The sequence below is a fragment of the Homo sapiens genome, chromosome 2 (assembly GCF_000001405.40).
Source record: "Homo sapiens chromosome 2, GRCh38.p14 Primary Assembly".
NCBI classification, from domain to species: domain Eukaryota; kingdom Metazoa; phylum Chordata; class Mammalia; order Primates; family Hominidae; genus Homo; species Homo sapiens.
In genome coordinates this window covers 110,770,190-110,793,620 of record NC_000002.12, presented here as the reverse complement: position 1 = coordinate 110,793,620, position 23,431 = coordinate 110,770,190, and the positions used below count along the sequence as shown (strand labels likewise).

General features: G+C 44.3%; 1 protein-coding gene across 28 annotated transcripts in view, besides 1 other annotated feature; it reads right to left on the bottom strand.

Annotated features, from left to right (window-relative positions):
• The window catches only part of ACOXL (acyl-CoA oxidase like), a 385,976-nt gene that overhangs the window by 324,928 nt on the left and 37,617 nt on the right, over window positions 1-23,431 (bottom strand). For 27 of the 28 annotated variants that reach the window (NM_001437600.1, XM_011511414.4, NM_001142807.4 and 24 more), the window contains exon 3: window positions 8,806-8,889. In NM_001437600.1, the coding sequence (NP_001424529.1) occupies window positions 8,806-8,889 (84 nt within the window). Of the gene's footprint in view, window positions 1-8,805; window positions 8,890-12,548; window positions 12,926-23,431 lie in introns of those variants that run through there. The other variant, XM_011511407.4, reaches the window with a different exon arrangement.
• Window positions 20,991-21,492: an enhancer, noted in NCBI's record as "NANOG hESC enhancer chr2:111529706-111530207 (GRCh37/hg19 assembly coordinates)". NCBI's record gives its function as "activates a minimal SCP1, AML or CMV promoter by ChIP-STARR-seq in naive H9 embryonic stem cells {active_cell/tissue: H9 hESC(naive)}" and the evidence as "EXISTENCE:reporter gene assay evidence [ECO:0000049][PMID:30033119]".

The following is a 23,431-nucleotide window of genomic DNA, read 5'->3' as shown; positions in this document are numbered from 1 at the left end:
TAGCAACAGTCAGCAATCTAAAGACAATTAAATCCACGGCCAAACTCCAATCAGGGAGCAGCTATTCAGCCCCCTGTGCTTGACCTAAGCCCTGCAAGTGGCATGCTTCTTTGCCCTTCCTCTTCACTGCCTGGTGAGCTCCAGTTTCTCTCTGCAGACATGGCTCATGAGTCGCTCAGGACTGACACAGAAAGTCAATCCTCCATCCTCAGGCCTCCCAGATCCCCCCAACAAATGAATGCTCTGAAAGCTCATTCTGCTTTGTCCTCTCAGGATCTAGCTTAGGTCCTGATGCAGAAGACATGTAACAAAGTGTGTGTGCAATGACCCTCGATGCTGACCCGTCTGTGGAGGTGAGTCCTGCCATGAGAAAGTGTTTCCTTACAGGAAGGTGGATGGAAGAGGCAACGCTGCAAAAGGAGCAAGCATGCAGCTTGGGATGAGCACCCTGGGTTTCAATCCCACTTCAGCTACCCACCGGCTGCAGGATCTTGGACAAATGACATTGTAGCCTCAGCTTCCTCATCTGATAAATGAATGGTGAGAGTACCCATTTACTGAGCTACTGAGCTTACAAGCTCACTGACTCTCACAACAACCCTGGAGAGAAAGCATCATCATCCCCATTTAACATGGGAAATTGGGATTCATAGAGGGAAAGTGTCTCACCCACATCCTAAGAAAGTGGGAAGGGCTGAGGCTGAAACCCAAGCTACCTAATGCCTTATAATACTTCATATAGTGACCATGAGGATTCAGTGAGAGTCAACCACCAAGCCTTTGCTTGGCCTTTTGTGGGTTTTTTGTTTTTGTTTTTCTTAAGAGACAGGGTCTCACTCTTTCACCCAGGCTGGAGGACAGTGGCATGATCATAGCTCACTGCATTGTCAAACTCTCAGGCTCAAGCGATCCTCCTGCCTTAGCCTCCTGAGTAGCTGGGACTAGGGACTACAGGCACACACTACCACACCTGGCTAAGTTTTTTTTATTTTTAGTAGAGATGAGGTCTTGCTATGTTGCCCAGGCTGGTCTCAAACTACTGAGCTCAAGCAATCCTCCCACCTTGGCCTCCTGAAGTGCTGGGATTACAGGCATGAGCCACCATGCCCAGCCTGCCTGGTCTTTTGTAAACCCTGGAAAAGTGTTGCTGACAAAGAGAAGGAGGAAGACAAAGAGGATGAGGATGAGAAGGAGAAGGAGAAGAAACAGGAAGAGGCAGAGTGGCTTGAGCAGGGCCGTTTGGAAGGAGCAGGGTGACTGACTGCAAAGACAGAAGAACTTGAATGTAGGGACATTGCTGTGCCTGCAGGTCAGAGTTCCTTCCCCCTCCTAGCTATACAACCCCAGTTTTCATCTGGGGAGCCCTCCTCCCCTAGAATCTGTCCAAGTGGTTTGTGGGTGATGTTGACCCCACCCCATCCCAGCTTTAGGATGAGTTGGGAGCCCAGGACTGGCTCATCTGGCCAGACAATGGCTCTCAGGATGGATTCATGATCTGGGTGTGTCCATTTGGAGTAGAAGCCAGGACACAAGGCTAAGCTACTGTGGAAGAGAAGCCCTCTTTTGTGAGGCTATGAAATCTGGAGGGATGGAAGCCTGGGGCCATACAGCCATGAGCTGGGGAATGAAGCCAATGTATGAGGACCCGGTTGGGGGAAGGAGGCAGAGTTGAGAGATGGCAGAGACCAGGTCCTGCACACCCAGACCTGAAGCCTGCTGCATCCTAGACTCCTGAATTACAGCAGCCAATAAGTACCATTTTTGCTTAGGCAAGTTTAGAGTCGACTTTTTTCCTGGGGTCACTGCATCTGGATGAGCTCTCTGTTCATACCCCACGTGTATGAACAACCTGGTATTAACTTTGTGAAATGGTACTTGATCAACTCTAGCAGCTCGGACCAGCTAACACACTCTGGCATCAGGACAGATGAATTTCACTAATCACATCTGACATGTGAAGTGCTTTTCATTTGGAGAATCATAAAGTATCCTGGGAAGATGATTCACACCCTGAAGACTCAGCTCACTTCTCTACAGAATCATCGCAGGCACTGCAAATTGCATTACTAATTCCAACATGGGAAATGGAAGCAACCCAAATGGTACGTGTTTTTTCCCTAAACCATCTTGGGAGTTAAGTTTAAAAAAATATTTTTCTAAAACTCAAACAAGTTAGGTTTTCCACCTCTAAATCTCTTTGGCTGGTGCCTAATGCACTCTTGACAATAAATTCCTCTTCTAGGTTTTAAATCCTTTCCTCCTCTTTAGGAAGAGGAAAAAAAACCTAGAGTGTTTTATCCACATTTTGAAAGCCCCCATTCACTAAATGTCTTAGTAGGCACCCTGGGCTGTGGAAGTGAACCTGTAAGTTTGCAGGAAACTGCAGCAGTTGACAGAGGCAGTGTCTGCATGACCTCAATCCACACAGTCAGGTAAAGTGTGGGGTTCATTTCCCACAAAAGCCACATTCTCTGAAGGGCAGCTAATCCAACCAAGCTGGGCCAAATGCAGGTGGAGCTCCTGGGGATTGGAAGTGGAGGGCTCCCTGGCCTGACATGCTTTCAGCAGGTGCCTTCTGGGAGGGGCATGGGCCCCAGCCCACAGGCCAGGAAGGAGGCAGACAGGGAAGTGGGGAAGTAGAGGGATTCAGGGTAGATTCTGGAGACAGAGTTGTTGGGATGGATTTGGGAGGAGAAGGAAAAAGAGGACTCTGAGAGACACCTGGGTGTGTGGCCTGAGTTTCCAAGAAGATGGAGACCCACTGACTGCAGTGGAACAGCTTGGAGGAGGGGCTGGGAGGAGCCAGGAGGAGGGTATGGACTCCTTAAAACAGAAATCCTGAGGCTAATGGGAGGTAGGCATCAACCGATCACGTGGGAATGTCGCAGAGTGTCCTCCGAGAGGACACTGTGGTTCTCCTGTCAGACTACCCAGCGTCCTGCCCCTGGCAGACCTCAGGGAACAGGACACAGAGAGGACCATTTGCTCTGAGAGAGACTGCGAAAAGCAGTGGTAAGAGAGAAAAAGTAGAGTTGGTTGGGGGATACCTAATGAAAACTCGAACTTCAAACATGCACCCACCTTGCTTGAGAAAGCCTCCTCTCTCTTTTCCCACTTATCAGGAGAAGAAAAAGGACAGCTATGACATCGAGCACACGAGGTAATGATCATAACATGCCCAATGAGGGTCGGCAGCTTCCAGAGGCCACAGTGTGAGACAGCTGAGGGCTGGGAGGTGTAGCCAGGACAGGTCACAGGGACCAAAGGATGGGGCTATGGCAGGGCTTCTTAGCTTCTAAATAAAGACTAAAAGGAGACATCCTGAAGTGGAAGGGAAATCTGGTGGGTTAGAGCTGGGAAGGCAGGCTGGTATCACCTCAACCCACCAACGGAGCCACTACCTGGAAGACTGTGGGGCTGGGCCCCCAGCCACGTCCCAGGAGGTTACAGTCCCCACCATTTATGGAGCTCCTGCTACCTGCCAGGTTTGGCACGGGGATCCTTGTAGGCATTACTGATTTAAATCTACACACAGCCTGTGAATGGGCTTTAGCAATGCCATCTTTAGGGAGGAGAAAGCTAAGGTACATATGTACAAAGGAACATGCCAAAAGTGTGGCTGGGAAGTCCTAGAGGTAGCATGTACAACTCTGTTGTTCTGAGTGTGCCCCTGTCCCAGTGGACCCGTGAGGTCTGTCCCATGGGCAGGAAGCCTGCCGGCTCCCCGGCTGCAATAGGCCAGGCCATTCCTAAACAACAGCCCAACAAGGGCCTCCTAAAGAGACTTCAAGTGTATTCAGGATTTCCTAATTCCAAGAGCAAATTTCCACAAATGGAAAACTGGAAGTGTTTTTTGAGACAACGGGGACTCCAGAAATGGACTGAATTTTGTCCTCCCAAAATTCATATGTTAAAGCCCTACCCGCTGTGTGATGGTATTTGGAGATGGAAACTTTGGGCAATGATCAAAGTTAGATGAGCTCATGAGGGTGGGACTCCAATAATGGGATTGGTGCCTTTAAAGAAGAGGAAGAAAAAGCAGCACCTCTCTTCACCAATGAGGACACAATGAGAAGGTGGCTGTCTGCAAGCCAGGAAAAGGGCCCTCACTGGAACCTGACCATGCTGGCACCATGATCTTAGACTTTACAGCCTCCAGAAAGGTGGAAAAATAAATTTCTGCTGTTTAACTCATCCAGCCCATGGTATTTTGTTATAGCAGTCCAAGCAGGCTAAGACAGATAATAGGATGGTTCAAATAAGGCAAAATAGAACAGCCATGGAGAAGCAGAAAAGGAAGCATGTCTCATTTCTTTCAGCTTTAGTTAGAGTCCTTCCAGATTGCACCCATGCTTTTGGCAGGAAACTTGGGCTGGCTCACAAGCTAGAGTGGGGATTCAAAGCACCAATAAAGACAATCTTTTTCCCTGGCACTTTGCTAATATGCCCACCCCTGTCGCTGTGAGCCACTCTCAGAGCCAGCCCCCAGCCCTGCCAGCACTTGGCTGTGTGAGTACAAATGAGTTTGTCCAAGGTGCTCAGGGAAATGCAAATCCACTGGATAAACAGACCTGGAGAGAGAGAGAAAAGGGACTTGAACATGCAGGGCACAGCTGATTTTGATGAATTGATGCTGACGTCCCTTCCTCAGGTTGACAGCCAGCTCATGTGAAAGGCAGGGACCACCAGTGGCTCTTGAGCTGGCAGGGGGATCTGGGGAACCCCTGACTGACCCAGAGCTCACAGGAACTGTTCCCAGCACACCACATGCCCTCCTGGCATCTCCTCCACCACCAATAGAAAAGACAGCCATGGTCCTCCTGGTCAGGACTTGGGGGCTGCACAGTCTATAGTTTCCTCTAATTGTCTAGGATTTCCAAGCTCCAGGAAAAGAAAAATCTCCCACAATTACTGATGTGTGGGACAGCATAGTTAATAATAATTTTTAATTGTCATTTTTATTTCTGGTAAAATACATACAGCATAAGGTTTGCCATTTTAGCCACTTTTAAGCATACAATTCAGTGGCATGAAGTACAGTCATAATGTTGTACAACCATCACCACTATTTCCAAAACTTTTTCATCATCCCAAAAAAAAACTCTGTACCCATTAAGCAATAACTCCCATTCTCCCCTCCCTCCAACCTCTTGTTACCTCTAATCTACCTTCTGTCTTTATGAATTTGTCTATTCTAGATATTTTATATAAGTAGGCTCATACAATATTTGTCCTCTTATGTCTGGCTTACTTCACTTAATAATTTCAAGGTTCATCCACATGGTGGCATGTGTCAGAACTTCACTATTTTTTGTGGCTGAACAATATTCCATTTTGAGTTTATACCACATTTTGTTTACCCACTCCTCTGTTGACGGAAATGTGGCTTGTTTCCAGCTTTTAGCTATTGTGAATCATGCTGCAATGAACACTGGCACACAAGTATCTATTTCAGTCCCTACTTTCAATTATTTGGGGTATATATCCAGTTAGTGGAATGCTGGGCTGTATGGTAATTTTTATGTCCTACTTTTTGAGAAACAACCATATCGTTTTGATTTTATATATTTATTTAATACTCAAGTATTGACACCTATTATGTACCAAGAATGTAGGGGTTATAGTTTTCAAGGAGTTTTCCCTCTTGTGGTAGTAAGAGACATAAAGTAATTCCATGAATAAATATATAGATTCAAAATGGGTACACGTTATGGCAGAAAACTGTAAGAAGCAAAGACAGGTGACAGCGAGTGGATGGGACTCAAGTTGAAGGCTTGAGAGGGGCATCCCTGCGGGAAGGACACGTTAGCTGGAACATGAAGAATGAATAGTTGTCAGCCAGGAGAAGGAGGGGAAAGACCAAGCTAGGGCTAGAAGCAAGTGGTCCAAAGGTGGGTAAAAGGAACCAGAAGAAGAGGAGAGTGGAACAGATGTGACCAGGGCCACACCTGCAAGGACCCATGGGCAACATCAAGGATTAGAGGATGTTTCTAAAGCATAATGGGAAGGAAGGGGTTTTAAGCAGGAGACTGGAGTGATCAGAGAAGTATTTCTTTTTTTTCTTTTTCTTTTTTTTTTTTTTTTTTTGAGACGGAGTCTTGCTCTGTCACCCAGGCTGGAATGCAGTGGTGCCATCTCAGCCCACTGCAAGCTCCGCCTCCCGGGTCCACGCCATTCTCCTGCCTCAGCCTCCCGAGTAGCTGGGACTACAGGCGTCTGCCACCACGCCCGGCTAATTTTTTGTATTTTTAGTGGAGACAGGGTTTAACCATGTTAGCCAGAATGGTCTCAATCTCCTGACCTTGTGATCCGCCTGCCTTGGCCTCCCAAAGTGCTGGGATTACAAGCGTGAGTCACCGCACCCGGCCTCAGAGAAGTATTTCAAAGGACATTTTCTTTAAGTCTATGCCAATTTCCTTCTAGGATACTCAGGAGTTTTCAGAAAAAAATTTTATTATGGAAAAATTCAATGAAATAGAAGCATCTAATGAACTCAAGGATGGTCAGCTCATGGTCCATTTTCCTTCATCTCCCTCCCCCCGCCACCCCTACCTACTTTCCCTTCCTACATCCCAGGTTATCTTGATGTTTATCCCTGACATCATATCATGTCTTCCCTGAATATTTCCAATACATATGTAAAAGATACAGATTCTTTTTAAAAACATAGCCCTAAAACCATTATCCCACCTAAAAATATAATGATCATTCTCTAATATCATCAGATGTCCAATGCTCAGATTTCCCCAACTGATACATAATTTTTCATTACAAATAGTTTGTTGTTTGAACCAAGATGTAAATAAGACACACATATTGCAATTGGTTAAAATGCTTCTTAAGTCTGCTTTATGCTACAGGCTGCCCCTTCCCTCATTCATTCAGACGATCCCTGTGAAACTCCATGGACTAGGCTCAGTGCAAGACCCTGGAGACCAGAGGAGAGGGCTCCCCACCCAGAGAGCTGCCACCACCTGTGGAGCTGTCCTCATGGTCACAATCCACGGAGGCTTGCTGAAGAGAAAGTAGATGGCAGAGTAGGGTGGGGGTGCAACATGGTAAAAGCACAAACTGGGGATCATGAGAGTCTGGACCAGGATCCTCCGGTATTTCTGAGACAGGATTTATTTATTTATCTGTTGCATCTCAGCTAGCTGCTCTCTCTGAAAGCCACAGCCAACCCATCCAAGAGGGAAGAGATCGTGCCTGGCTGAAATCACAGGGAGCCCAGTCTTCCTGGAAAAATCTGATGGTGGACACCCTCACGACAAGATGGCACTCACAGATATCTTTGTTTTTAATTCCTACCTACCAATAGACAATGTCCACACCAAACTGAAATCACCACCATATTGGACTCACTGCCAACTGACCTGGCTTCTTGTCTGATCATTCTGTCTTCATGTTCTAGTTGTAATTTCTCCTCTTTGGGGACATCACGACTGGGTGTTTGGATATGAGGAATCATTCTGAGATCCAGTGGTGTCCAGGGAGGGAAAGGAGGGCCCCATGAAGGACTCTCTGCTGGAAGGCTTGGGCAGCACGAGTGGCTGCAGCAGACACGCCCACCTGAGCTATTTTGTTCGCCTTCCTTGGTAAGCAGGAACATGCAAGATAATTGTCTTCCCTCAAGACAATAAGATGCCATTTTATAACCATTTGCAAAAAAATGGAGAAGTCTAAGAATTCCAAGTATGGAAGAGGATATGGGTCCACAGGATCCGATTACATGCTGTTGGTGGGAATGTGAATTGATGCACTAACTTTGGAGAATAGATTAACACTACTCTTTAAAGTTAAGCATTCATTCATCCTGTAACTAGCAATTCCATTCCTAGTTGAATACCTAAGGGAAGATTTTACCCATGTTCAACACCAGACATGGACAAGAGTATTCACAGCAGCACTTTTCACATTAGCAAAATCCTGGAAACAACATGAGAAAGTGGATGAATAAATGCTGTGGTATATTCACACAAAGGAATATTATACAGCAGTCAAAAATGAATGATCTTCCATTGCTATGTCATTCCCCAAATGACAAAACTATAGAGATGGAGAACAACAGATTAGTGCTTGCCAAAGGACAGGGGTGGAATGGAGGCCAAATGAAACTTCCGGGTAGGACCCGGAAGTTTCTTTCTGATGATGGAACAGTTCTATATCTTGATTGTGGTGGTGGTTACATGAATCTACATATAGGGTCAAACTGCATAAAACCACACACACACACACACACACACACACACAACTGAGTGCATGTAAAAACTCGTGAAATCTGAATAGGGTCTATGTCCTAACAGTGCTGTACTAATATTGATTTCCTGATTTTACATTGCATTACTGCTACATAAGATGTCACCATGACTAAAGGGTTCTCATGACCCTATGTACTATTTTTGTAACTTTCTGTGAGCATTATTATTTCAAAATGAAAAGGTTTTTATTTTAAAATTTAATGAATACAGGAACACACAATATGAATCGATCTTAGCAATAATATTTAAGTGAAGAAAGAAAATCACAAAGGATTATGATACTGTTTTCATAAAACTAAGACAAAGGAAAATAACCAATTGATACAAATGTAACAAAACTATACAAAGAAGAAAAGCAAATTAGAAACAAAAACAGGATAGGATATGATAGTTAAAAGGGAAGTCAGGCACAGGTTTTGAGGTATGCAATTTTACCAACACCTGTGCCACTACATAGACTGAGAGAGCTCACGGGGTTATAGTTTTCATTCCTTGGCATGCAAAGCGAGCATGCATTCATGAAGGGCAGGTGCCCGGCGCCTCTCACCTTCACTCCTGTGGCCATGTCCGCCATGGAGAGGACTTCTCCTATGACAAGGCTTCGGCTGACAAAATTCTTTGTTTTCTCTGCCTGAAAATATGATAGACTCAGTATCAAGGTTTCCTTATGGTTTTCTGACTTGTTAAATTCACAGTTTTTATAAGAAATGCATGTTACTTTTATAATAAAAAATAAACACAGTAAAAGCAGTTTTTAAATTAAGAAACAATTCCATCATTCTACTAAAGTAAATGTTTTCATCTTTTTTTAATGTGGCTTTCTGGTCTCTAACCTTGTTAGTGTTAAAGACTCTTCTTATACAATAGTCAACTGCATCCGCATGGAGGCCAGCCTGCAACCCTGCGACCGACTCGCCTCGTGCCTTGCTTTGCTTTCTCCAGGTTTGTCCCTCCCAGCTCCTGGTGTTCACTTTACAGGCCGGCACCCCCACGGTTCTGCCCAGCTCCTCCAATGTGTGCCACAGCCTGCAGCCTCTCTGCACTGATGCCCCAACCAACAAAGAATGCCTGGCTGGAGCTCTGTTGACAATCTTTTTTTTTTTTGTACAGACAGGGTCTCGCTATGTTGCCCAGGCTGTACATGAACTTCTGGGCTCAAACGATCATCCTGGCTCAGCCTCCCAAGAAGCTGGGACTACAGGCATGCGCCATGGTACCCAGCTTCAGTGACCATCTTGATGTGAGGGTGGAGGATTGGGAAGTCTGGGAGCACCCTGGACACAGGAAAAGCAGTATGTTTACTTTGTAACTATAGACCATATCAAGGCTTTGATGATTTAAAAATCATGAGGTCCCAATCCCCTCTCCTCACTCACTGTACACAACAGCCACAAATCCCAAGGCTATACGAACACACTCTTCTCCACCAGTGACAAATGAGGCATGGCAAAAACACTGTACATGTTTCATTTTAAAAATTCAGAGGCAGCCAGCATTTTCTTAGAAGGTGATAGGCCCTTGAGTGGGCAAAGTGCAGCTGTCCATTGTTGAAATCAGTGCTAGTTGTCCTTGTTTGCCAGTCTCTTCTGAGATCCACCCAAAAAAACTGGTGCTTGTTACCCATGTGTATGTGTATGTACATGTGTGTGCATGTGCCTGTGTGCACATGTGTCCATGTATGCATGTGTGTGTCTATATGTGCGTGTGCATCTGTATGCACACGTGTGTGTGCAAGTGTGTGTGTGTGTCTGTGTTTCTACACTGCTCCACCAGCAGCAGGATGATAACTAACCTTCCTTGAATGACTTTCAGTTTCCACACTGGCTAAAGCTCTCACCCCAAACACACTCTAGATTTTTCCCTCCCATAGGTTTTTACAATGTTTCTCTCAACCATTATTAATTTGAACAAACAGCAGGCTGTCAAGATTTATGACTCTTACCATGGCTCCAACCCAATGCATCTTGTATTGATTATTTCCTAAAATATCTCCAGGCTTGAGTATATAAACCACTGCATGGCTCCAGCTTCAGCTCACACTGCTGAAGTTATTACCAACAAATAATAAAAGACAACTAAAGCAGATAGTTGCAGACTCTTTTAGAGGGCCTAAGTGTCCTTTGTTGCACAGATCCTCACAACAACCCTACACGGGAGGCTAACAGGACAGGAAAGACTGACCCCATGTAACAGACAGGAAATCCCAGGCTCAGGGAGGTCAAATGACTTGTCCCACCAGAGTCACCTGGGAAGTGGAGAGCAGTATCCTTTATCAGAATCCGGAGCTTCAGGTTTCTCATCTGGACATCTTGCCACCAGCCCTCCCTGCTCCTCATTATTAAGCCAGAAGAAGTCTTGGGACCCTGAGTGGCCCAGCCTTCCTCATCGGTCCACCCCTATTTTTCACCACCAGCCTTGTTCCCAGAGAGCACCTGACATCAACCTGTCCTGGGCCCCCAGTTCATCTTCCTGAGAGTCACCCTCTCTGGAATCATCACAACAAACCCTTCCTTGATGCCAGCTCTGTTTTAGCCAAACTGAAATAATCAGGAGTAAGCACAGCCCCCCGAATTTCCAACTATTCATAGCTTTCTTCATATTTCATTCTCTTCACGAACACTGTCAGTGCAGGAGTATGACTTTGCCATTAATGGTGTCCAACTGCGGTCATTTTTACTCACCACTTTGAAATTAATTGCAAGGACATTTACTGAAGAATCAATCCAAAATTTAGCCATCATAGAGCATTATAAATTGCCTATGACAATTACTTCCCTTCCCTTGTCTCTGCAGGAGATAGTGACCTTTGCTATTAGATCTCATGGGAAATGACAATAGGAGTTTGCTATTAATTCTCTGATGTTGATTTAAGCATATATTTGTACTCATCCATCTCCAGATGCCAAACCAAAGTTCCAGAACTGAGAATAAGCTTAATAAGAATGACTGCCTTACTGGTATATATTTTAACATCTTCTTCACACACAAATTCCCTATCTTCTTCAATTCTTATTTTATTTCTGATTAATTGTTCTTAATTAAAGAATGTCTAATATTGACAAGTTTCACCTCTCATTGAAATGGCAGCACTAACTGAATGGGCTACGATGATAATGATCAATCAATAGTTATGTGCTCTTCTACATTGCAGCAGTAGAATTGCAGCAATTCTACTGTATCAATAGCTGCCTTCATTTACACTTAATATATTCAAACCAAATTCAATCTCCGTAGTAGCATGTAAGTTTGTAGTGATTTTAAATAATAATAATTCCATAAATTTATGAGTACTATACCCCAGCTTATAGTTTATCCTAAATTACAGTCCATGCTATTCACATGAATACTTAATAAATTCAGCCTCAAACAGAGGAAGATAGCTTTTCTTAAAATACTCCCCTTTCTTTGTAGAGCACTTGATGTAACAGATCATTGTGATGTAATAATCTGTTATAAACTCTGAAAAAATGTATGTTTTCACAGAGTAGTCTGTAAAAGACATATATACTCCTCAACTAAAACCGCCATGATTCAGAATAGGTTGGATGTGTAGTCTGAGCTGTCTTTCCTCTGATGTTAACCCACACGGCCTCCTTTGCCAGCTCTAAGCAAGACTCTCACCTCCTGGGCTAACCAGCCCTGACCTTCCCTCCAAAAGACCCCAAGTCTGGCCACTTCTTTTTTTTCTTTTTTTATATTTATTTATTTATTTATTTATTTTTGAGATGGAGTATCATTCTGTCACCCAGGCTGGAGTGCATGGTGCGATCTCGGCTCACTGCAACCTCCACCTCCCAGGGTGAAGCGATTCTCCTGCCTCAGCTTCCCGAGTAGCTGGGATTACAGGTGCGCGCCACCATGCCTGGCTAATTTTTTTGTATTTTTAGTAGAGATGGGGTTTCACCATGCTGGCCAGTCTGGTCTCAAACTCCTGACCTCATGATCCGCCCGCCTCCACCTCCCAAAGTGCTGGGATTACAGGCGTGAACGACTGTGCCTGGCCAAGTCTGGCCACTTTTTACATCTCTTCACCAGACTCTTGTGCCCTGGACTATAGTAACAGCCTCTTGACAGGCCTCCTCTGTCCACCCAGCCCCAAATATCAGGCACCATGAGCTTTTTATTATGAGTAATTACTAAGGTAAAATTTACAGCCAGTGAAATGCACAGAGCTTAAGCGCATGAGTTATGTTCAATTATCTACCTGTGTAACCATCATATCAATCAAGAGCACAGGGCATTCCCTTCCCCCAGCAGGCATCCCCATGCCCCTCTACAGTTAGTACCCACCTTCAAAGGCAACCACTGTTCTCTTTTCTTTCTTTGTTTCTTAAAGATGGAGTCTTGCTTCATAGCTGAAGCTGGAGTGCAGTGGTGTGATCGTAGCTCACTGTAGCCTCAAACTCCTGGGCTCAAGGAATCCTCCTGCCTCAGCCTCTTGAGTAGCTGGGATGACAGGTCTGCCATCACAGCCAGCTAATTTTTTTTTTTCTGGAAACTAGGGTCTCACCATGTTGCCCAGGATGGTCTTAAACTCCTAGTCTCAAGCAATCCTCCTGCCTCGGCCTCTCAAAGTGCTGGGATTACAGGCATGAGCCACGATCGTCCCCAGCCTAACACTTCTTTTTGTATCACCATCCACTAGTTTGGCTTGTTCTTGAAGTCACACAAGCAGGAAACAGTATGTGCTCTTCAGGGTCTGCCTTCTTCCATGCAAATGAGGCATCTATGTTAAACTAAGGATATCCATAGTTCATTATTAGAATGGTTTCCATCTATGAATAGTTTATAATTTGTCTAAACAAAACTCTTTAGTGAAACTGGGTTGCTTCCAGTTTCAGGCTCTTATGAACAAAGTTGACATAAACATTTGTGTACAAACCTTTTTGGGGACATGTGTCTGTTTCTCTTTTGTAAATCCTTAGGAATGCAACTGTGTGGTTAAAGTGTAGTTTTAGTGTTGTAAGGAACAGCCAAACAGTTTTTGAAAATGGTTGTACCATTTTACACTCCTCGCAACAATGAATGAGAGTTCTAGTTTCTCCACATCCTACCAGCATTGTCAGTCTTTTCCAATTTTAGCTACTCTGGAGGGAGTGTAATGTTATATCACTATAGTTTAAAGATGTATTTCTCAGATGACTAGAGATATGAGCACATTTGCATATGCTTAATGGCCATTTGTAAGTGTTCAAGTCTTTGGCCACATTTTTAAAATTGGGCTGTTTGTCTTTTTATTGTCAAGTTCTAGGGATTTTTATATAGTATGGGAACAAATCCTTTATATCTGGACACAAGTTTTTGTCAGATATATGCATTACAGATTTTTTCCTACTTTGTACATTGCCTTTTTATTCTCTTAATGATGTCTTTTAATGAACAGCAGTTCTTAATTTTATTGTAGACCAGTTCATTAGTATATTTTCGTTTATATGTTCAAGTGATTTTTGAGTCTCCTCTAAGAACCCCTGCCTATCCTAATAGGACATTCTCCTCTATTATTCTACAAATGTAGTAATTTTTGAGTCTCTGTTTAGGCATCTAATGTGTCTCAAATTAGTTTTGTGTGTAGCATGAGGTAGGGATGAAAGTTAACTTTCTTCCCATATGCTTATCTAGTTGTTCCAGCATCGTTTACTGCCAAGACATTGCTTTTCCCATTGAATTGCCTTGGCAACTCAATTGGTCATATATGTGTGAGTTTCTTTCAGAACCTGCCATTCCATTCCATTGATCTCATTGTCTTTCCTTATGCCAATACCCCATGACCTTGAGCAGCTTTATAATATAAGGGCTGAAGTCATGTAGTGAGTCTTCTAACTTTGTCCTTTTTTAGAATTGTTTTAACTCTTCTAGGTCTTTTGCATTTCCATATATGTTTTGAAGCAACCTGTAAATTTGGATCAAGGTACTACAACATTTTTAAACTAAGTATCACATTGTGTTCCTTCCTCCCTCCTCTCTCCCCCAACCATAGTGAACACCTCCAATGACTCCAGTTACCACTGCAAGAAAATCTAACCCTCTGACCACATCCTCCATGTCTAGCCCTTCTTACTTCTTGCTGGTTCCAGGGGCCACATAGTAGGCCAGCTGCACAGATCCTGGGAGCATTCTGTAACAAAGGCTGTAGCCACGTACTTCTGTTCTCTCCAAGGGCCTTTGACTACTCCAGGAAAGCCCAGTGCAGGATTGATGAAAGGTGACATTCCCATGGCTCTGTCTAAAGATATTTTTCTCTTTTCACGACATTATTGCAGGACCCTGACAGTGTAGGATTTTCCAAATTATTGCCACAAATGTAATACCTCTTCCCCTGGCAGCACATGCTTACTACAATTCCTAGTTACTTCGAAAATGTTTCTGATTATTAGTGTAATTACAGAATCGATTGATATTGGTGGCAGGTAATAATGAACGTATCTTATTGACATTACCAGCTTGATGTACAAGCTTACTTTTTTTATGCAGCATTCTACATTCATTTTAATGGAAATTAATGGTTGCTTATAATTTTTGGCCCATGAGCAAATATTGTTCCCATTATTCTACATTGTGAGAGATAAATATACCACATGACTACTTAAAAACTGGATTGTCAAGCAGTACTACCACTGAGCATTCATTCAGCACTTCCTATGTGCCCAAACACTGTCTGGACAACTTACCACGTGTTATGCCATTTGAGCCTCCCATCAACCCTTTAAGGTAAGAATGTTATCGTCCACACTTCACAGAGAAAGAAACTGAGATGCAAAGAATTCAAAAACTAGCCCAAGGCCACATGGCTCCTCAGTGAAGGAGCAGCCAGTCATGAACCCTGTTCTATCTGACTCCAAAATCAGAAACCCATAACCACTGCATGATGGTGAGAAAATTGTACTATGACCATCCCATATCCCCTTTTCAAAACAATATAAGTATAAATTCATATATGATACATTTCAAAGACCAGATTGGGATATGCATTATTTTTGGACAATAGAATTTTGCAATTGTGTATGTGTCTTTACCTGTCTGCATTTTTAACTTTCCTGTAATGAACATGCATCATTTTTGATAATGAGAAATTTGTCAGCATTTTTCCCAGTTATGGTTTGTGCATCTTTTTATAGTGTCTGTCTGTAACTGACTCATCTATCCAAGCCTCACAGCGTCAGTAGAAGGTAGAAAAGCAGACTTGGAAAACTAGTAAGAGCCAAGTTGGCCCCCGTGCCAGGAACCAAAGGGAAAAACACTGCAGGGTTTCAGGTTCAATGTGGCCCAGAAGTCACAGCGCCAACTGGGCATGGCCGCTGCTGCCAACATGAATGCTAACCCTGCCTTCTCCAACTGCACAAAACTCCTGCCTGCTGGCTGGTCCCAATGCGAGCTTCCAATAGTTGAACTCGGCTCACATGCCCAAGACCAGCTTTGTCTTGTGGCAGGAAGGCAGCCACTGGAAACCACTAATGCTACCCACATTCTATGTTTGGACAGCCCTAAAATAGGACACCTGCCCCGACTCCTTGAAGTGGTGTGGCCTCTCCCCAGGTGCTATCATGAGGACAGCCTCCCTCAACCCCACATACACACAGGAGGTCAGTGCTGGGCTCTGTGCAGCCTCCGTGGCCAGTGTCAACCCCGGCTCACCCAGGAGGGCTGCCCGCGCTGATGGCCCCTGTCTGAGCCACTGTCCTGTGATGGATGCACTCTAGCCCCTGGCCCACGAGACAGTGCACACTTGGAAGACAGAGATGGTCTCCTACTCATCTTGAGTTACAAGATTCAATTCTCCCATCCCTCTGTTCTGTCCCCATCACAACAGAAAGACTCTGCAGGGTGGAGTTGCACCATACACAGCTGTGGAGTTGGGCCAACTGGCTTGAATCCTGCCTCTGCTTCATTTACTATGAACTTTAGACAAGTTACCTTTTCTCTCTACATCTTAGTCCCCTGACTTGTAAAATGAGCACCATATTTACTTTCCGATTTGCTATGATAATTTAATGGAGTAATGTATGTAAAATGCTTATGAGCCCTCTTACACTTGTCCCTACCTCTATGGCCACTTCTCTCCAGTCTCCTTTCTGGTCCTTCCCACCAGGCTCCACCCTTGGGCCTCCCCTTCTCTGTCAACACCCATGCCATGGGGATCCCTCCAGCCTTATGGCTCTAAATTCATCTCTATGTTGATGGCTTCCCCATACCTTGACCCTAAACATCGCAAACATGTTTAGATGATCACATCTAAAGACTAGCTCCAGATTTAACCTAACATCTCTTCTAGGCTTCCCACCCAGTATACGGTGACCCTATCCTTCTAGTTGAGTTGCTCAGACCAAATACCAGGGAATCGCATTTTCTTTCCCCTCTCTCACTCCACTTCCATGTATCAGTGTCTGTCTACTGCTTGACCTTCAGTAGAATCCCCATTCCTGCCACTTCTCATCACCTTGACTGCAGTCACTCTGGTCCCAGCTAGCACCACCTCTCTCCCTGGTGACTGCTCAGCTCCCTGTTTGCAGTCCTGCCTCTCATATAGTATATTTCTAAGCCAGCAGCCCGGAGACCCAGTCAGACAGGTCCTGCTCCACTCAGTCCCTCCAAGTCCTCCCATTTTATCCGGTCTGAAGAAAATCAAATGCCTCATAAGGCCCTTCATACTCCAGGGACTCACCATCTCCCTGGTTGTCACCACCTCTCTCCTCCTCTCTCACTCTGCTCACACCACATGGTGACTGACATTCCATTAACAAGCCCAGGACACTCCCACCTTAGGCCCTTCATGACTGCTGTTCCCTCTGCCTGGATGCTGTTCACCGACCTCCAGCTGTCTCGCTCCCCCACCTCTTAGGCATCTGCTCCAATGTCACCTCATCATGAGGCCCCCACCTGTCCCTCTGACTCTTCTGAGCACCTTTACATCTTCACTTAAAAAAATTAACATACACACAACATAAAATTTACTATTTCAACTATTTTTAGGTGTACAATTCTCTGGCACTAAGTATATTCACAGTGTTTGGCAACCATCATCACCATCCATCTCCAGAACTTCTTAATCTTCCCAAACTGAAAATCTACACCCATTAAACACTAACTCCCATTTCCCCTTTCCCCCAGACCCAGGAAACCACCATTCCACTTCCAATCTCTATGAATTTGACCACTCTAAATACTTCATGTAACAGTGTACCGTATTTATCTTTTTGTGACTGGCTTGTTTCACTCAGCATAACGTCTTCCAGGTTCATACGTGTTATAGCATGTATTAAAATTCCCTTCCCTTTTAAGGCTGAATAACATCCCATTGTATGTATTACAACATGTTTTGTATGTTTTGTTATGCCATTCACCTGCCAATTGACATTTGGGTTGTTTCTACCTTTTGGCTATTGGGAATAATGCCACTGTTAACATGGACATGCAAATAGCTCTCTGAGCCCTTGCTTTCACTTCTGTGGGGTATATACCAAGAAGTGGAATTTCTGGATCGCATTGTAATTCTACATTTAATTCTTTAAGGAAATGCCATATTGTGTTCCCCAGTGGCTACATCAGTTCACATTCCCACATCACCACCGACAATGCACATGGGTTCCAGTTTCTCCATATCCTCTCCAACACTTGTTCTTTTCTGGTTTTTTGTTTTTTTTGATAATAACCATCCTAATGGGTGTAAGGTGGTATCTCATTGTGGTTGTGATTTGTATTTGCCTAATGATTAGTGACGTTGGGCATCTTTCTATGTGTTTATTGGCCATTTGTTTATCTTTGAAGAACTATATCTTCAACTCTTTGACCATTTTTTAATCTAGTTGTTTGGTTTTTTTCTTGTTGAGTTGTAGGAGTTTTTATCTATTCTGGGGATATCAATCCCTTATCAGACATATAACATGCAAATATTTTCTCCCATTCCATGTGTTGCCTTTTCACTCTGTTGATAGTGTCCCTTGATGCACAAAAGATTTTGATGTTGATGTAGTCCAGTTTATTTTTATATAAATTTTTACTTAAATGCTTTTTAAAATTGTTTTTAATAATTAGATCATTTTTATTCCAAAAATGTATCTACGTTTTTCAAAAGCCTGTGTTTTTGGTGTTCTATCCAAGAAATCATTGTCAAATCCAATGTTAAGAAGCCCTTTCTTTATGCTTTCTTTGAATTTTTTATTAGTTTTTGCTCTTACATTTAGGTCTTTAATCCATTTTGAGTTAAATTTTGGATATGCTGTAAGGTAAGCTTCCAACGTCATACTTGGCTTGTAGATATCCAGTTATCCCAGCATCATTTGTTGAGAAGATTGCTCTTTCCTCACTGAATGGTCTTGGCACCCTTGCCAGAAATCATTGACCACCTATGTGAGGTTTTATTTCTAGGGGCTCTTTATTCCATTCCATTGGTCTCTACGCCTGTCTTTATGCCAGTTCCACAGTTTTGATTATAGTAGCTTTGCAGTAAATTTTGAAATCAGGAAGTGAGAGGCCTCCAACTTTATTCTTCTTTTCCAAGATTGCTTTGGCTATTCAGAGTCCCTTGAGATTCCATGTGAATTTTAGGATGAGTTTTTCTATTTCCGCAAAAATCATCTTTGGGATTTTGATAGGAATTGCACTGAAACTGTGGATTGCTTTAGTAGTATTGACATTTTAACAATATGAGGTCTTCCAATTCATGAACATAGGATGCCTTTCAATGTATTTGTATCTCCTTTTATTACTTTCAGCAATTTTGTAGTTTTCCATGTACAGTCTTTACCTCCTTGGTTAAGTCTATTCCTGAGTATTTTATTCTTTTTGATGCTATGATAAGTAGAATTGTTTTCTCAATTTCATTTTGGATTCTTCATTATTAATGCATAGAAATGCAACTGACTTCTACATGTTGATTTTTATCCTGTAGCTTTGCTGAATTTATTAGTTCTAACAGATTTTTTGTGGAATCTTGGGGTTTTCTACATAAAAGATCCTGTCATCTGCTCAGAGAGACTATTTTACTTCTTCTTTTCCAATTTACCACACTTGATTTTTATCCCCAGCATCCATCACCATCTGACATACCAGAAATTTACTTTGTTTATTAGTTTATAGTCTGACTCCTCCCAGACAAAAATGTAAGCTCCATCGAGACAGGTAATTTCTGCCTGCTTTGTTCACTGCCCCTTGAGCAATGCCTGGCTCACTGTAGGTGCTCAATAAACAATTATAAAATGAACGAATCACCTCACCTGGCACACGGAAGGGACTTAGCAAAAGGTAGCGAGAAATAATTATTGGTTTTTTACATAGTATTTCACTGCACGAGTAATAATGAAGGCTTAGATTGAAAAGGGTGTTTTTTAATGCAGAATGGTTGCAGTGTCAAAAAACAAATAGCACCATGATTCCAGCTGCACTGGAATCCCAGGGCAGGTCCAGCTCACTCCCTGCCATGCCCCGCTTTCAAGTAATCCCTGTGGCTATCACAGATGACAACTGCATTCAGGTGCCAATCTACATAGAGGGACTTCTGTAAACAGACCTCTCTGTCCTGTTGTCTCTGCCCAAATCCTCCAAGATATCCCAGGCGGCCAGGGCTGGCCTGACCAAAGTGCTGGCCAAGTGGCCAATGTCCAAGTCTGTGGAGCTGGAGCTGGGACAGGGACTCCTGCCAAAGACAGTATATAGGACTAAGAGCCAGGGGAGCCTGTCACAGCCCACTAGGAGAAGCCTGGGTTCCAGTACAAACAGAAGCCAGAGGCCCAAGAGGGAGCCAAGGCCAGGGCGGCAGAGCCAAGAGCTCAGAGTCTGTCCGTCGGTCAGGAGCCAGTCCTGGGATGGGTGGGGGAGTACAGCGGTCACAGTCTGCAGCACTCGCTGGGGCTGGCACTGGAAGTTGTGGGCAACAGGGTGGGGCCTGGGTGAGTTGGGACTGGGACAGGACAGACATCTCAGCCTCTTGGCAGATTCCTGGCTCAGCTCCTTTTGCACAACACACTCAGGGCTTAAATGTAAACGCTTCCCAGGAAAGGCTGTTTCTTCTCTCAAGGTCTGAGTAGAAAAGTAACCACCCTCCCCGGCATTCCCAAACACCTTCTAAGGTGAGCTGACCTTAGAACATTCTTCCATTTTAGATCTGATCACCCACCTGATATTTCTCCAAATACAAAAATACCTCAAACGGAGATTACCTAAAATTCTGATAAAAATAATAGTCATAATATATGTAATATAAATATAATGCAACCAATGTTCTACTAGTTCCCCTCTGATCTGCTGAGACTGAGCTTCCTGAGAAAATAGTAGACGATTTAGATCAGTGACTCTCAACCTTTATGGTCCCTGGACCTTTTCTGAGGATTCCAAAGAGGTTTTGTTTGTCCAGGCTACAGCTGTCAATTTACCATATTGCATAATTTTTATGAAAAATAGTCATAATTTCAAAAAACTCATGAGAAGAATGGCATTGTTTCACATTGTTTTAGTATCTGGCTCAATAAAAGATAGCTGCCCTTTCATAACTGCTTTTGTGCCATCTGTTGTGATATGTTGTTTTGGTTGAAGTTTATGATGAATATCCAGTGTCTCACATGCAGGTAGTTGGACATATACTTTCCACATAGCACCTGAAAGGGTATTGGGGACACACACGGGTCCTCGGGCCTTACTTTGAGAACCACTGGTTTAGATAACGATGGTGCAACTATGCCCCTCACTCGTGTGGATCATGGGGATAAAAACCAGAGCTCTGGGTGAGAGAGAGAACGGTTGTAGGCTGGTTGGGGGAGGGGAAGAAGGAGTCAGGGGTAGGATCTTCATCATCCAGGTATCTGTCCCCAACCCACACTACACTTGGCTGAAAGAAGCCTGATCCCAGCTGGCTCCCTCCTGGGGAAAGGTAATGTTGAGATGCGGTTTCCCTATGAGCCACCCACAAGCCCTGATTGGTAGGGACCAAATGCTTAATGGGAACAATTTTGGGGAGACAGGGTGCAGGAAAGGAGGCATAGTGCAGCAGTCCGCAACCCCAGATGCACAGTGGGTCACCTGGGAGATGTAAATGCTGACTTGATTAGCCTGAGCAAAAGCCTTCACAGCAGGAGTTTTGAAAGTTGTCTGGCTGCTTCTATTGTGCAGACAGGGGCAAGCACCACCTGTTTGACGTGGGCTCAGGAAGCAGAGCACCTGGGTTTGAATCCCTGGTTCACTAGTCATTTATATATACAACTCACTAATTGTATAACTAACCTCAGGCCAATTACTCAGCTTCAGTTTACTTATCTGTAAAATGGGAATGCCATGAGGGATGTTGTGAATACTGAATGACATCATCTATTTAAAGTTCTTAGTGTTGGGACTGTACCAGAACATGTACTCAGTCAACTTGAGCTGTCACTGTCTGCTATGGTGAAGATCAGTGCAGGCTGTCAGACTCTGTCAGCTTCCAGGGATGAGCATCTCTGAGGAAGCTGTCCCCCATGCAGGACAAGACACTGCCACAAAGTAGATGATAAGACCTGGGTCTTAGAGACAGAAGGTCTCTGCATCTGGAAATAGAGGCAGTTGGTGACTCCCCCAGCCCAGGATCCAATTCTGGAAACTTCAGGGGAACAAGAGAGCTCTTGGCTGAGGTGCACAAAGGTGATGTCACTAGAAACAGGTGCAGGAGAAGTTGGCACAGAGAACAATGATGGTGTTCACACTGTGTGTGTGTCTGTGTGTGTGTGCGTGCACACTCTGCAATCAGACTCATATTGTTTTTTCGCTTTAAAATTATTGAAACATCTCAAATCTATTACAGATGGCAGAGGGGAAAACACAGCGTGGAAATATTTTAATGGTTTATTCTTGGCCTGCGGACTGTCCATAGAGACCTGGAGTGAATGAGACTCCCTTCTTATTTGTCCCCTAGAACATCATCATTACACATTATACACCGCGTTCTGCCTCAGAGCTCATCGGATCATCCACAAAAGTGGAGAGCAACATGAAAGGGGGGTCCAGGGAAACACAGACGGGCCTGGCATGCTCCCTGAGCAGGCAGGACAGCCATGACTCAATCATTTTATTAAGAGGCAGGATGAATCATGTAACACTTCTAGAATTACTGGATGTGGACAGCTCCTCCAGCTGTTTACAGGGCGGAATTTGAGAGCCTTCAAACACAGATGTGCTGCCGAGTCTCATGACATCCGCCCAGCGAGATGAGCCTGCCGCACTGATGGCCAGTTTCATTTCCTTCAGGTTTATTGGCTTTTGTGAATTCATACAGAGAGAGGTGCCAAACAGGCCGAGATAATTCACAGAAATGACTGGAGGGATGGTCTAGGGCCAATCCTGTGCCTCCTGGAGGAATTATATCTAATCACCCAGGACAGAGAGTTGTCCAGGCTGCCTAAGGCCACTAAGTGAGCCAGGAAAACAGGAAGATAATTGGATCCAGAGCTCAACACGCTTCATCAGGAGCGAGATTACAGAGGCTAATCCTTCAGACTCAGCGGGTCGGGCTGCAATTAGCAAGCCTCATTAAGGGATCAGCTCTCACATCCGGGTCTTGAGTATTGACACTAAGTTAAGCCACAGACATGTTGGGCTGATTAAGGGAGCAAGAAGCTGGCCACAGGCCAAGATTTCACCTTCCAACCAGCCCCATGCCGAACGCACTTGGAGGCGACTCTGACAGAGAGAGTGGTTGGCAGCAAAGAGGTTGGTTGTTTTTGTGTTTTTTTTCTTTTTTGGTTGTATTCACAGCTCTAAATGGATGCTCCATCAAGAGGCAATTTCCTAGCTTGAAAATCTCTGCCAAACTACTTGGTATGAAATGATTTTTTACGCTTCGCAAGCACGCTCCACTTTGTCACATGGGAGTTTTCCTGTGCCAAGTGAACATCCATCTGCACGTTCTCCAGCTCAGCTGACACTGCAGCGCCCTTGTCAGCGTGGAGGTGCCTGCAGTATCGCAGCGCAGGTGGTGCCAAGGCTCTGCCTGTAATTCCTTCCTGAGAAGACTCCAGGATTGGTCCTTGTCTCCTTAGACAACCTACCAAAGGTTGGTGGGATTGTGGGGAAGGGAGAGGGATCTACTTTCAAGCATGGATCCCAGGCCCCCACTAGCTCCATTCTACGCTCCACAAAGAAAGGCGCCCCTGTGGTCTCCTGAACTGGGAGGACTCCATCCCTCAGTCCTCAGACTCTCCCTCCCAGACCATGCT